The sequence below is a fragment of the Homo sapiens genome, chromosome 2 (assembly GCF_000001405.40).
Source record: "Homo sapiens chromosome 2, GRCh38.p14 Primary Assembly".
NCBI lineage: Eukaryota > Metazoa > Chordata > Mammalia > Primates > Hominidae > Homo > Homo sapiens.
The window spans coordinates 220,610,301-220,626,348 of NC_000002.12; the positions used below are offsets into that span (position 1 = coordinate 220,610,301).

Sequence of the window (16,048 nt, forward strand, 5' to 3'; positions counted from 1 at the left end):
AGATAAGAGATTATTGACAATATTCTCCAGCTTGGCTTAACAATATATTTTTTATTTGGGGGAGTTTGCTATTTGGAAATATATTTCTTATTTGGGAGAGTCTTTGCAAATGAAATATATTACTTGGGGAGAAAAGACTGTTTTAATTCCTTCTCTGAGCCAAGCAAATTTTTATTTGTTTTTTGTACAAAACAAGTTTTGGAAACTTTTACCATGAGAATCTGACTGGGTATGGTCCTTGCCATTGGACTCAAAGTGGCCATAGCTTTCACCATAGGGTCAGGAGTCTGCAGGGTCAAGGGGACATGGATGCTCAGAGACCAGGCTTCCTCCCTATCCCTCTATTCTGGACCAGGCTTCTAGAATTCCTTGCCCCAGTGACTGAGAGCCTACTTCCTGGGGCTGTGCAGGTTTCTTTTCTGGTTTGCTCTTTGAAGGCCAACTGAGCCACCACTGTGAATACTCCTAGGCCTCAGGGGTACCAAGTGTTTGCTATTTGGGAGGGGGCTATGGACATGTGCTCTGGGTTATCCACACACATTTGCATTAGGTCTCTCAAGGAGTGAGACAGATAAAAAAGAAAATGGCAGCTGAGGGGACGGGGATTTCCAGCTGTAGCACTTCCATGAACCCACAAATCAGTGGCTCCAGCTCTTTCCTGCCCTTCACATCTCAACTCTGCCTACCTGTTTTCTTTTTTTCCCTTAAACAGTTCAAATTTACTGCCTCTGTACATGTTATTTCTTTTTCTTGGATTATACTTCTCCTAATTCTTCCATGGCTGGCTCCTTCTCACTGTTCAAATCTGAGCTTAAAAATCATTGCCTCTCCTAAGGCTTCTTCCCCACTACCAGTCACTTTCTTTCATTTACTCCTTTGTTTTCTGCATAGGACATTTCATAATATGAAATCAGTTTCTAAAGGCACTTACCTATGTATTGTTCATCTCTTCCCACTTAAATACAAACTCCATGAGAACAGATAATTTGTCCTGCCTACCACAGTCTCCCTAGAACCCAGCAGAGAGTACATGCTCAATCATAATAAGTTAATAAATGATTGACTGAGCAACTGCACACATGAATAATTGTTGTCTCTGTGCAATATAAAGACAACCACATGCAAAGCTAAAAGTATAGTTTCAATGTCAATATTAATCAAGATAGTCCAGGGTGAGGTGCAATAACTCTCCAGCTGAAAACAGCAAGGTTTACTTCTCATTCAGCTTTTATCAACATGTGGGACAGCTAGTGCTTGATCTTGTGTTGTCTTCATCCTGGAACCCAAGTGACACTGTTCTCCATCTGGAGCATCACTGGTCACCACGGCACAGGGAGGAGGCTATCAAGTCGTTAGCTGGCTCTTGTAGCATCCACATGGAAGTACATATATCAGCTCTGTTCAGATACTGTTGGTCAAAAAAAAGCCACAAGACTGCCTGACTTTATGAGTGTCTTAAAGAAGTATCAGAAGCATGGGTAAGTAGCCCCAGTCATGACCATATTTCTACTTGACAGATTCTTTACTCCTACTGATTTTAGCAGATATTTTGCTTAGCATCGACACAACTTAAATTTGGGATACAAGTCAACATCTTGTTTGTAAGTAGTCATTAGTATTTTAAATATATACATTTTAAAAAATGAAGTCCCTTTAAAAGTAAAGGCTGTTTTTCTACATATTTATTCTTGTCGTGTTTTAGTTTAAAAAGATTTTAAGTCTTTGAAATTGTTGATAACGTTGCATCTAATTTCTTTGCCCCTTTAAATGTGATTGCTTCTGACATATTAGCCAATATGTTTAAAATAAAATGATGGGAAATCAAGTGGTTTATTCCTCTGCATACATATAGTTCCATAATGAAATTATTCCTGCTGTGAAAAATAAGTTTGAATTTTGCAGCTGGTCACAGTTGGTGAGAACAGAGGGTGTATACATCTTTAATGGAGTGTGTTTCTCAGACTCTTATGACAAATGCAACCTCCCTCATTCTCTCCCACAATTAAGTAAGCAACTTTTGATTTCAAGCTTTCATTAAGGAGATGGGATACATCACACACAGGAACAGCATCTTGCAGGTTGCCTTTTAATCTATTGTCTCTTGTTTCTCCTTTTTTCTCCCTCTGTCTGTCTCAGTTCCTAACTGCCAATTATCTGTTCTTCAGACCCTGCATAAACAATTTGGGTGTATACAGAGGATTTAGATACATTTCATTAACATTCCCACATATTTCATTTAAAAAAGGATTAAATTAAGACTTAAAGTTTGCCATTGTAAGACCTTTATTTTCCTATATATCTATTCTTTTTATTTTAGGAAATAGTTTCCTTATTTTTAAACTTGATAGAAGCCTTATTTTTAAAGTTTATAGAAGAAACAGGAAAGAAAAGAAGAGTCCCTCAACATTTCTTTGGTTTATCAGAGAAGTGGTTGGCTCTGCATGACAAACTGCCAAATGGTTCTAAGAAGCATGTCAACAGTTGTTTTTGGTCAAGCTACTGGATGTGGCCTATCTCCACGGGTGATAGTTGGTAGAGCTCACAACTATTTTTATTCTTAATAACACATGGAAATATAGACCATAACGAATGAATTGTCATATTTAAAGAGAGGCAATTTTTAATAATAATTTTAGAAATGCTTGCTTCTTTTTGAGATGGATTTTCGCTCTTGTTGCCCAAGCTGGAGTGCAATGGTGCGATCTCGGCTCACTGCAATCTCTGCCTCCTGGGTTCAAGTGATTCTCCTGCCTCAGCCTCCTGAGTAGCTGGGATTACAGGCGTGCACCACCACGCCCGGCTAATTTCTTGTATTTTTAGTAGAAATGAGGTTTCACCATGTTAGCCAGGCTGGTCTCAAACTCTTGACCTCAGGTAATCCACCCACCTCGGCCGGCCAAAATGCTGGGATTACAGGTGTGAGCCACCGCGCCCAGCCAAAATGCTTGCTTTTTATGGCAAATCAAGTATTTTTAAGTATGTCTTACATGTTTCTATGAAAAATTTCTCCATCTTTATAGAAAAACAAGAAGGAAATCAGGGATAGGGTGATTAATATCTATTAAAACTCCATATGTGCTAATCATAATAGTGTTGCTTTACTTAAGTTATCTCAATCTCTCCCTCAACAACCTGTGAAATAGCAATTATTCTCATTTATGTATTTGTTTTTACTAAAGGAATAAGGGTATCCAGAGCTTCACAGAATAGGAATCCAACAGGAGCCCATCTCACAGTCTTAGACTTATGAAGAAGTATGGTACCGTCACTATCCAAACAGTTAGGATAGCCATGCTTGTAACATTATTAAATCTTGTCCTCCAATATTTGATTTTCCAAGGATTTCTGATATCACTTAAGTTATTTTATCATGTATAATTTTCAGGTTGGTTGTATGAAATTATAGCCCAGTAGAGACAAATATGTATTATTTTATTATTGCATTCATTTATTTGTATTAATAATATTTTTTACATATATCATTTAGAATGTTCAAAATATAATTTTAAAAACTCAGCCATGATCCTTTCACCGAAAAATAACTGCTTTTTACATATTGATATATTTACCAGTCATGGTGGTTCACATCTGTAATCTCAGCACTTTGGGAAGCCAAGGCAAGAGGATCACTTGAGCCCAGGAGTTCAAGACCAGCCTAGGCAACATAGTGAGATGTTGTCTCTACAACAACAACAACAACAACAAAATAAAAAGCAGGAGGATCACTTGAGCCCAGGAGGCAGAGGCTGCAGTGAGCCATGATTGCACCAGTGCATCCCTTCCTGGGTAACAGAGTGAGACTATATCTCAAAAAAAAAAAAAGGATATATTTATTTCCAGTCTAATTTAATTAAATGTATAATATATCGTATTGATCTTATGTCTATTATAGTTTTTATAAAACATAGATTTTACCATATACCTAGTTTTATGCTTTCCTTTCTTCACTTAAAATGTTATAATCAGCATTTTTGCTTGACTTTATTGCTAATCAAAAACATAATTTTAATAGCTGTACATTTTTTATTTATGGATATGCAATAATAAATATGGCTTTTCTCCACTGTTTCATAGATGTTTTAGAGTGTATGTAAGATAAAATTACATTCTCTCTACCTATTCCTCCAATTGTTCTCAGTTTCATTCATTTAACAAGTCAGATTACCAAATATTGTATTTTAATTTACCTTGAATATATCACTCCTGAATCTGCTTTTTACACGGTTTAGTATTATTTCTCCTTCATTTGCCATTGTGAGACCTTTATTTTCCTATATATCTATTCTTTTTAATTTAGGAAATAGTTTCCTTATTTTTAAAGTTGATAGAAGCCTCTGGGTTCAGGGAAACAGAAAAGAAAAGAAGAGTCCTTCAATATTTCTCTGCTTTATCAGAGAAGTAGTTGGCTCTGCATTGCAAACTGCCAAATGGTTCTAGGAAGCATGTCAAGTATTGTTTTTGGTTTAGTATTATTTCTGCAGCAACGATTAGGAGTCTACATTAAAAAAAAGGCAAAATGAAAAACATTGCTGTGTCTTCTATAAAACCATCACATCAAGGAATTATTCACTGCATGGAGAAGGTCTCTGAAATATATTCCTATTAGATATTGGGGATGAACAAGAAACCACTTCCTTGAATAATAAGGTCGCTTTCTTTGACCAGTTAATTTTACTCAGCACATCTTCTTTTTTTCCTAGGACTAACAGAAAGTACAAACCTAAACATAGTGTTCGACTATAGAAAATATTCGTAGTCTAGATCTATGCTCTCCAGTAGAGTAACCACTAACCACATGTGGCTTTTTAATCACATATTGCTATTTAAATTTAACTAAACTAAAATAATTTAAAATACAGTTCCTCAGTCACACTAGCCACATTGCAAGTGCTCAACAACCACGTGTTTCTATGGGCTACCATAGTGAACAGCACACATACAGAATATTTCTATCATTAAAGAAAGTTCTGTTGGACAGCACTGGTCTAGATTATGAATCAAATTATAAATTTATAGCATTTGATGCATCTTTACATTTTAGCTTTATTTAAATTGTCTGGATGACTACTTACTTAATACTTACTGCCTGCTACTTTCTCTGACTTTTAAAATTAGGTATCTGTGAATTGCAAATATGTGGTTAAAAATAATATCCTAAGTTCTTACAATGTTGATACCTAACTGTTAGATGACTAGAGAGGTTATCAAAGCTTACAAAGGGATTTAAAAATTGATTATCTTGGTTATCTAGATTTGCATTGTCACTTTTTTTTTTTTTTTTTTTTTTGAGATGGAGTCTCACTCTGTCGCCCAGCCTGGAGTGCAGTGGTGCGAACTCGGCTCACTGCAAGCTCCGCCTCCCGGGTTCACGCCATTCTCCTGCCTCAGCCTCCTGAGTAGCTGGGACTACAGGCACCCACCACCGCGCCTGGCTAATTTTTTTTTGTATTTTTAGTACAGATGGGGTTTCACCGTGTTAGCCAGGATGGTCTCGATCTCCTGACCTCGTGATTCACTGGCCTTGGCCTCCCAAAGTGCTGAGATTATAGGCGTGAGCCACCGTGCCCAGCCTGCATTATCACATTTGGTAAGGCTCCTGTCCACCTAAGTTAATATGAATGTCCCAGTCTCATTCCCCTCATACAGTCTCATTTGCTACATTCCTTGTGATAAATGTCACTGAGTACAGGCCTTTTCAGTCCCATTAGGGTGATGCTGTAAATGATGATGGTTCAATGATTCTGTACTTCTATTTCTGCTGTGCAGTGTCCTGTTCATTTCTAGGCACAACTGCAGGCAGGTGAACACTAGGGAGAGTTTCAGGAATAGCGGTGTCAGTTTTGGCTGGATGACATGGAATGTTTTATATGCCATTTGGGACATTTGGCTCAGTTTGAAAATCCTAAAGCAACATTCATATTTTAGAATTAGAAATTCCGCATACCTATCTATAGTGTACACTGATTTGAACTGAATTTGAAATAAACATATCAACAGTAAATCTTCTTAAGGCTGGTGATGGCACATACTTTTGAAATGCTTAGGTATAAACAAAGCAAGCATACATTTTCTAGGTCTCACTATACAGTCATAAAACACTTGGCTATAAATCAGCATGGACCACTTTAATTTCATTTCTTGCCCACATAATCAAAACATGAAGCTCTCTTTTCTTTAACACATAATTCTTCTCAATCATTACATAAATTGCCATATTTCTTAATAACAAAGTAAATGCTTGGGTTCAGCTATGATTTACAGATTGGGTAAATTATTAGCTATATGGTTGTAATATGCTGATCTGCTTACAAAATATGTGTTTTAAGTAAATACGTCTATGACTACAGAAGAGAATGTTATCCATTACTATTTAGATCTTTTAAATATCTTCTCTATAGCAGGGGCAAGTACTTCCAACTGGGTTATATTATTTGTGTTAATTTTTTTCAAGGCTTCATTATCGAAACCTGCAAAAGTTGATAAGGACGTGCCTTCATACAACCACATTTACTATAAGGATGTCACATAATCTTTTGTCACTGATTCACTTTCCAACTTTCAGAAATTATTTGACTAAGTTGAATTTGCTATATTTCCCAGTTCCCTGATGCCATTGATTGTATAAGGCACCATCAATTTATAGATAATCTTTCTGAGGGTTAAGCAGGGATCAATTTTGATAAAAGTAATGTTGATTGGCAATGAGCTGTGAAATACATTCTGCCATTATCATCTAACACCAGAATTTTTCTGAAGGAAAGAGTTGTTTTGGTGGGTAAAATATTTTGTTGAAGATTTGGAGCTGCTGCTCAGCAATTCAGCTCCTATGTGTCTTGGAGGCAAGATTCCATGTCTCCAAGACACATGTGACTGGATTGCTGAGCAGCAATATGTGTGTGTGTGTGTATATGTGTGTGTGTGTGTGAGATGAAGCTCTGCATACAGACCAAAGACTTTGGAGCTTGGGGTGGGGCAATCCTGAGATAGTAAAAAGGCGGGGAGAGTGATGAGAAGGACATGTACAAATTGGAAGTGAAGCCTTCCAGTTTGACTTCTTCATATCTCCCACCAAATCTTCAGCAAATCATGCATGCTTACAGAAACCCTAGTGGGAAGAGGATTTCGTAGAACTTGGTGTAAAGGCCAAAAACGTTTCACACCTGAGTAGTGGCAAAGATGTAGGGGCCAGGCTCAGAAGAACTATGGAGTATAAATCCGAGAGTCAGTCCATGTTGATACCAATAGATCTAGTGTGTTTATTAGAAGAACGTACCAGTTTAGTTATACATGCCCTATGGAGGAAATTTAGTTCTTGTCAGTATTTCTTCAGTATAGTCAAAGCTGCAAAGAGCACCTCTACACGTCTCCTGAAACACACAGAGGAGAACTTCTCTCAAAAATGCACCTAGAAGTATTATTTTTGGTTAATTGTAAATTTACTACATATTTACTACAAATTATCCTCCAAAGTAACTATATAAATTTATGCTTTGATATTCATGAATGAAAGTTTTCCTTTACCCTTATTTTTGTGAACAAAAGACATTATCTTTCTAATTGAGTATGGGATGCTATTTTATTATTTCATTTATTTGTATTTAGTTAATTTATTTTTTGCTGATTAGGAGTGAGACTGGGCAGTTTTTCTTAACTGTATTAACCAGTATGTTTCCCTCTTCTGTGTATTGCCTCTGTTTTCTTTGGCAGGCATTGCTAATTGTCTCTCCCTATCCATCCTTCGCTTCTTTATCAACAGATTCTAATTTTATTTGAGATCCCAATATGCCCAGGTAAACTTATTTTCTCCTTTCACTTGAGTCTGGAGTGGGGGCCGTGTAACCCAGCTCTGGCAAATGGAAAGTGGGAGTCACTGGGGCCTCCAGGTGAATTTTTGAAAGGCAGGTCTTTTACTTGTGTCCCTGGCACGTCACTTCTGTTTATTTCTGGAGCACAGACCTGATACCTGGAGAAAAGGAAGAAGACTGTCCTAGGTGAAGAGAAAGTCTATTGAACAGGAAAGAAGCCAAGCCCTTGATGATTTCCTCAGACGGCTGTGCTGACCCTAGATGGCTTCTTTCCCTACCTCTGATTATGAGAGGAAAATCAGCCTACATTTACTTAAGCCGCTCTAACCACATTTCTTTAATAAGTAGCAACATGTCATACTATTACGGTGTCTTTGTCCCATTTTTAATTAGCTTGTTTTTTTCTTATTGATTTCCAAGAGTTCTTAATATATGATAGATAAAAATCCTTTGTCAGTTATATGTGACATAAATATCTTCTCCCAGTGACAGAGATTTTGTTCTGACTCTTTCTCTAACTTCACTGTGGGTTCTGAAAACATTGCTTTCCCTTTCTAGATCTTGGGTTGGTATTCTGTAAAATGAAGAGTAGAGAGTATCCAAGGATTTTTCCAGCTCTTATATTCTGAGTTCACTGATACGGGCTTAATAAACATGTCTCTGAACAGCTTGCACAGAGTGGCTGGTCAGCCACAGCCAGTCATCTTGATAAAACTCTTTCTGTCCCTACTGATCGATCACACAATCCAGACTGATTACTTAAGAGACTATTTGCAAACCATTCTGGTTAGCTGTAGAGTGATCCATCTTTTTGAGCATGTATAAAAATACCCTTACAGCTATAGAGTTGAAAACTGTCTTACATTACCCAAGGCAAAAAAAAAAAAAATCATAGGAAAACAAAAGAAGAATATTACAACATTTCAGCACATGTAATGTTAAACTAAATGGACATGAGTTGTCAACAGAACTTGAAAACAGCATATTCCCCTAATAAACAATAGAAGAAAATGGTGAGTAATTCTTGATATGTTTCAGAAATGCTCATTAAGTTCTATTATAAAATAACAACTTCTTGAAGTAAAGTAGTTTGCTAGTTGTCAGTTTTGGATTTGATTTAAAAACAAATGGTGGATAAATCCTAAAAGTCAAACAAAACAACAGGTAGATTAGAATGAGTATTTATTCAAGATGGTCTGTTTTCCACTGTTACTGGGAAAAGAAAATGATTTTAAAACTGGGAAAAACCTCCCCTAAATTTCAGATTTTTCTTTGTGCTTGTGTAGAAGCTGATGTAGAAAGGATTATGAGAAACTGTTTGGATGAAATTGAGAGAATACCTTTTCAGGAGTCAAGACCATCTTGGACTTCAGCCTAGCAACACCAGCCCCTACATGAGTACTGGGTTTGCCAAAGGGCTTTGCATGACTCTTTTTCTAATTCCTAGGCTCTGGAAGAGACGAACCTGCCAAGCTGTCTAGAGCTGCAACTCTCAAGTTGGTAACAGTTTACATGAGGTTTACCTGAGAACTGAGTGCATGAACACACTAACCTGATTCAAGTGAATGATATGTGTGAGTAAATAAAGTTTTTAATGCAGGGAGTGGAAAAACAAACAGAAAAACCCTAAGGTGATTAATCACTCCCATTCTTCCCTTACAAGTCTGTTTATGGAAAACGTCAGAGCTGCCTACTTTATCTCATCCTTCATCTCCTGACTCATTAGCTTTTCTTTGTTATAAGTCAAGGGTCCTCTGGACCCTAAAGATTTCTGGAGTCTAATGAAGGAGTTAGCCTAATGTTGTCACTAACTGAACTGGATGGGTAGTCCTGACTTTCCAATGCTAGGTCTTGGGCCTCTCTCTTTCTCTTGCTTCTCTGTGAGATACAGAAGAGAGATGCCTGGGCTTTTTCCTTAGAACCACACAGACTCCTGCTATTGCCTTCTCCCTATTTGTGGCAATGCTGACTCACCTCAGACAAGGTGCCAACATGGCCCCACCCCTCCAGTGCCACCCAAACAACAGCAGCAACACCCAGGAGGCCCATAAACCGAGACACCTCTTGGGGTAGCTTATCTCTGCACAGTGACCACTGGGAGCTGCTCACCTGTCCCACTGGAGTCTGGGTTCCATATCTTTAGATTCTCTCTTGCTGCTAGCAAAACGGCTTCCCTCATCTTACCCTGCTTCACATCTTCATTTTGGTGAGGGTCAGAGGTAGGTTAGGAGCCCTGCAGTCAATTTGTGTCTGTAGTGAGGCAACTGAATCCACAGCCCCTCATCCACAGGTCAGTTTAAGAGTAGTTGAGGCCGGGCACGGTGGTGAATGCCTGTAATCCCAGCACTTTGGGAGGCCGAGGCAGGTGGATCACCTGAGGTCAGGAGTTCGTGACCAGCCTGACTAACATGGTGAAACCCCGTCTCTACTAAATTAAAAAAAAAATAAAAAATTGCCAGGCGTGGTGACGCATGCCTATAATCTGAGCTACTTGGGATGCTGAGACAGGAGAATTGCTTGTACCTGGGAGGTGGAGGTTGCAGTGAGCCGAGATCATACCATTGCACTCCAGCTTGGGCAACAAAAGTGAAACTCCGTCTCAAAAAAAAAAAAAAAAAAAAAAAAAAAAAAGTAGTTGAACCTAGACCTGAGAAATCTTCCTTGCAAGGTGTCAGGTCCAGGCATTACTTCTGCCCCTCATCCCAGGCTCCTTTCTCACTGATGAAGGGGACTCTCTCAGTGAACCCACCATTGGCTGCATCCGTCCAGCAATCTCTTTCATTTTCTCCTCTCCTCTCCCCTTACTTACTATTGTCTGTGAACTTGAATAGATTTATCTGAACTCCAATTTTTGGCCAGAGTTCAATTATTTCTTTTTCTGTGCATGTTTGTGTTTTTGTTTGTCTGATAGACTAGTAATGATTTCCATAAAGGTTCGTAAGAGGTATTTGTGTGAATTTGTTGAGTATATTGATTCTTTTTCTCTTGGAATGGGGCAGTAGAAATCTTTGATGTCCTTTTCTATATTTATTGGACCACCTGAGTTTACCAGGAGTGCTGGTGAAGTGTTTCCAGCCCACTGAATGTTTTTGATATTAATTCGAAATGTACATCTAACTTGATTTAAAAAACCAAAACAATGGCTCTGCAAAATGAAAAGAGTAAAAAACCACCCTTGATCTACTTTGTTGAGTAATCAATCCCTTCATTTCTTCCCCATAAGTTAACATCTGGTGGATGCCAGCCTTGATTTACATGCTTATCTGTTCATTCATTATTAAAGTGAAATAAAGACCTGAAAGTGTCTATGTAAACAAGATACATGATATTTTTGTCCATGTAAAAAGTTCATTCTTCTGTATTTTTTCATCATTCAAATTTTGCACCAAAACAACATGTTTTCCATTACAGTAGTTTTATAGTCAGTTTTTATATCTGGTAAGGTAATCATGATAAATATTCATCTTTTAAAAAATAATCCTTGATATTCTTACCTACTGATTTTTAAATATGGATTTATAATAATTTTGTCCTCAGAACCACCACATCAAGTTATCACTAACAATTAAGTTATACCCATTGTATTGGAAATAGTGATAGCTTTGTAAAATTTCATCTTTCCATTCAGGTATATGTAAGTATATATCTTCATTTATTAAAGTGTCCTAGTACGATTTGCTAGTCAGGGCTCACCAGAGAAACATAATAAACAAGACATATATCTATTACCTAAGTTGACCCATAAAGGTACCCATTGCAATACGATTTTTCAAATTTCTTCAAATCTTGTGCATATTTTCAAAGTTTATTCCATAATAGTTCATGTTTTTGCTTGCTGTTATAAATTATGATGCCTTTCTCACATTATGTTTTTAAAGTATAACATTCTGGCATAAGTAATGCATATAAAACTTGTAGAAAAGTTCTTGGCACATGGGAAGGTCTTAATGAATACTGTTGTTCTGTGTATATTTATTATGCATCTAGGCACCTGTCTTAGTCCATTTTATGCTACTGTAACAGAATACCACAGACTAGGTAATTTATAAAGAGCAAAACCTTATTTCTACACTTCTGGGGGCTGAGAAGTCCAAGAGCATGGTGCCAGCATCTGGTGAGGGTCTTCGTGCTGTGTGATAACATGGCAGAAGTGCAAGTAAGAATGAGAAATAGAGAGGAAATTGGGCCAAACTCATCCTTTTATGAGCCCACTCCCAGGATAACTAACCCACTTCTACAATAATGGCATTAATCCACTGACCTAATTACTTCTGAAAGTCCCCACTTCTTAATAACATTACAATTGGAATTAAGTTTCAACAAAAATTTTGGAGGGAACATTCAAACCGTAGCAACACTTAATACTCTCATACTAGTTTTAAAATTTCCTTTTCTTAACTATTTTTTCTTATAGTTATAAATAATATAATCTAGAAATAAGTTTAATTTTTACCCATTATTTCAATAAATGCCTTGACAAATGGAATTACCTGAAAGTAAAAATCTTCTGCATGGCCAAAAAAAAAAAAAAAGAAATGAAGAGACAACCCACAGATTAGGAGAAAATATTTGCAAATCATACATTGGGTAAGAGGCTAATATAAATAACATATTAGGAACTCAAACTACTCAACAACAAGAACCCAAATAACCCTATTATAAAATGGGAAAAGGACTCAAATAGACATTTCTGGGAAAAAAAAAAAGCATACAAATGACCAGCAGAAATATTAAAAAGGATCAATATCTCTAATCATCATGGAAAGGCAAATTAAAACCACAATAAAAATAACCTCATACCTGTTAAAATAGCTACTATCAAAAAGATGAAAAAGCAAGGGTTGGCGAGGATGTGGAGAAAAAAGAGTGCTTATACTCTTGTACACTGTTGGTGGGGATGTAAATCAATAAATGCATTGCTTATTGTTTTGGCTGTATCCTCAAAAACACATCTTAATAATATTAATAAAAGAAGACATCTTGGTCTTCTTCCTGAGAATAAGGGGAACCCTATTATTGCATGTTAATTTTCTCCACTAAATTCCCTTTGTTTTATTTAGGGACAGTTTTTGCCTTGTTTATCCTGGCCTCTTTCATACTTTGTATTTTTCTCATTTTCAGGTCACCCTTAGTTGTCTATTTTTAGCAATGTGACAATAAAAGCCGTTTGGTAACTCTTCGTACACGGACAGAGCTTTTAGTCTGATGGACTTTACTGAAGAGTGATGGGGATGGGAAATTTTTGTGATGCTGCCTCAAATGTCAGAAATTGGGGACTTTCAACTTCTCCAGCTTTTAAATCTCGTTGACTCCTTTGTTTGAAAGCATTACCCGGGCCTTCAGGAGTGTTGCACACAGGGTGTGTGCAGAATTAACTATACAGACTTTAAACGACTCCCTTTTGCTGTCAGGCTCATGTCTTGTTCCTTCTTTTTCTTCTATACCTTGTACCTAATGTTTCTGAGTCTCAAATCTTTCTGAGATACTGGAGAGGTGGAATGCCTTTTTTTCCTGGATTATCATTTTAAATTCTAATTTTGTTTGTTTGTTTGTGTTTTTTGAAACAGAGTCTTGCTCTGTCACCCAGGCTGGAGTACAGCGACGCAATCTTAGCTCACTGCAACCTTCACCTCCAGAGTTCAAGCAATTCTTGTGCCTCAGCCTCTGGAGTAGCTGGGACTACAGGCACTCATCACCACGCCTGGCTAATTTTTGTATTTTTAGTAGAGACAAGGTTTTACCAAGTTGGCTAGGCTGATCTGGAACTCCTGACCTCTGCCTCAGCCTCCCAAAGTGCTGGGATTACAGGCATTGAGCCACTGCACACAGCCAAATTCTAATAAGTCTTTAAATTAATAATTTTGTTAGCAGCCTGATTTAGAGCCTTGTAAGATGTGAAAACATTATTTAATTTCTAATTTTTCTAAAAGCTTTTAAAATTAGGAATTTCAACGCCTTTAGGAAACTCTTGAATTTTCTGATTGTTTTTATTATTTACTGATGATTCAACTTTTCCTCCTCATTCTCTAATTCTTCAGCACTAATTGAGTATTCGCTGTGCTGTAGATGCTTCTTAGAGAATACAAAACTAAGTAGAAGATACCCTGGGCCATCACAAAGCTTTTAATATAATTGAGAACCTGTTTAAACAATTAAGTATAATTAAATAAGTGTAAAATAGATGTACGGGGAAAATGCTGTGGGGATCAAAGGAAGAAGCAATTAATTAGAAATGAGGATATTAGGGAAAGTTCCACATCGCTGTTGTCATTTGGGTTGGAATTTGAAGCATGAGAATCTATTTTCTATAGTACTAATAGGGAGTTGTGATGGGCTTGCAGCAATATTCTGGGCCAAAGGAACAGTGAGAAAAAACCAAAAGTGTGGGGAAAAAAGTGAGAATACATGGATAATGGCAAATAACTTTCTCTGGTTGTTCTCTAAGCTGTATGGAAGAGGAGATGTATTTCAAAGTTGAAGGGGTCAGATTAATGAAAGCCTTGAAGGACTTTTGTCTTTATGCCATGTGTGTGGACATTCAGACTTGTCAAATAGTTTTTACAATAGCAACATGATCAAAACTCTGCTTTACAAAGATAAATCTGGGGAAAGTGTAAAGGATGGATTGGCAAGGTGAAAGATCAGAAGCAGGGAGCCTGGTAAAAGGCCTGAGTTCAGAAAGAGATTAATAGAGCCCAAACTAAGGCATTGGACATAGTAACTGGAAGAAAGAGATAGATAGGAGAGTCACTGGGAATATATAATTGATAGAAATCACAAACTCATTGGAAATAAGGGCTAATACAAAAAAAAAAGCAGAAATGAAGAATACATCAAGCTTTCCAGCCTGAGTAACTCGAAGAGTTGCAGGATGATTCCCCAAAGTAAACACAAGAAGTGAACAGAAGAGAATAAAGGAAAGGTAATAGGATGCTCCTAAAAGATACCATGTCAGGAAGTACCACTCAAAGCTTCTTTGGTCACAGGAAGGAAAAACTTCCCTCCACTTTGGAGTAGTCAAAATTTCTCCATGTGGAGCAAAGTTCTAGCTTCATTATATTGGTGCTATAACTAAGAAGTTACAGAATTTGATGAAGAATAGCTGGGAGACTTTAACTTAGGCTGTAATGAAAAACCAGATTACAGATACCTGAATAATAAAATGCAATCAGAAATGGTGGCTCTCCAACAAAGACAGTGACACTGAGGGTGAGGTTTACACATACACACAAATACACACACACACAACACATGAACACGTACTCACTTGTAGTAGGCCATTTATGGTGGGAAAATTGCATTAATAAGATCGTGGGTGGTCTTCAACCCAGGACTGAAAGGCAAAATTGAGTCTGCCTTGGAATCACCATTGATCTAAAATTATGCTGGAATGCAACTGTGCATGACTACATAACTTAAGTTTGTGCCAAGGAAAGGTGACCCTAAGCTTTTTTCTTCCATCCGTTCAGAACATGCAGAGACACCCACCTAATTTCTTGGATGCTTTAATCATGGCCATGGATCAGTCTGTTATTCTGACTCCTCCTGGGCCACTGTGGAGTGGTGCTGGCTGTGTCCTTAAAACAGAGGAAACTCTTCTGGGAGGGGGAGTTGAATATCCAGCACTAAAAGTGCTGCCCTAACTCTAATCCACACTGGGCTCTCCCAGAGGCATGGTGTCAAGCAAAACAAGGGGATGGGGATGGGGGTACATGACTTCTTCTCTTGTGGCTGGAATTTCTCTAAGAGTTAAACTTTGCCACTCTGATTCCTAAAAAACCTACTTCCCGAGGGCAATAATGTGGCCTCTAGAGAAAATAAACAAGGGCAGAAATGCATTCTTTCTGAAAAGAAGAATTTCTCTGTGTCTCTTTGAGTATCCGCTTTCACCAAATGATCCATCCACCTTATTTAGATTGAGCTAATATAACTATCAGCCATAATTTGCTAATTTACCTTTTTTGATTTCCTGATCAGGGTGAGTGTCCCCTTCTAAAAATCTTCAAGCCACTTGTTCTTTGGATATATCAAGTTTTCCTTTCTCTCACCTGCCATCTACTACACTTCTTGAAATTTTCCATCCTTAGTTACATTAATTAGTCAAGAATTTCCTTGATATTGATTTTGTAACCACACTATAACTTTGTTAACACATTCTTCCACAGTATAATTTCCTTTGGGTACTACCATGGCCTGGGGAAGATCCTATAATGGAGAGACTCTGAGTGAGGACAACAATAATA

General features: G+C 37.5%; 1 long non-coding RNA gene across 1 annotated transcript in view, besides 1 other annotated feature; it reads left to right on the top strand.

Moving 5' to 3' along the window:
- Window positions 1-16,048, top strand: part of LOC105373895 (uncharacterized) — a 66,857-nt gene that overhangs the window by 41,855 nt on the left and 8,954 nt on the right. The gene's annotated exons all lie outside the window — the stretch shown is intronic.
- Window positions 8,853-10,052: an enhancer, noted in NCBI's record as "P300/CBP strongly-dependent group 1 enhancer chr2:221483874-221485073 (GRCh37/hg19 assembly coordinates)". NCBI's record gives its function as "activates an origin of replication core promoter dependent on BRD2, BRD4, P300/CBP, MED14 and CDK7 cofactors, with strong dependence on P300/CBP, by STARR-seq in HCT116 cells {active_cell/tissue: HCT116}" and the evidence as "EXISTENCE:reporter gene assay evidence [ECO:0000049][PMID:35650434]".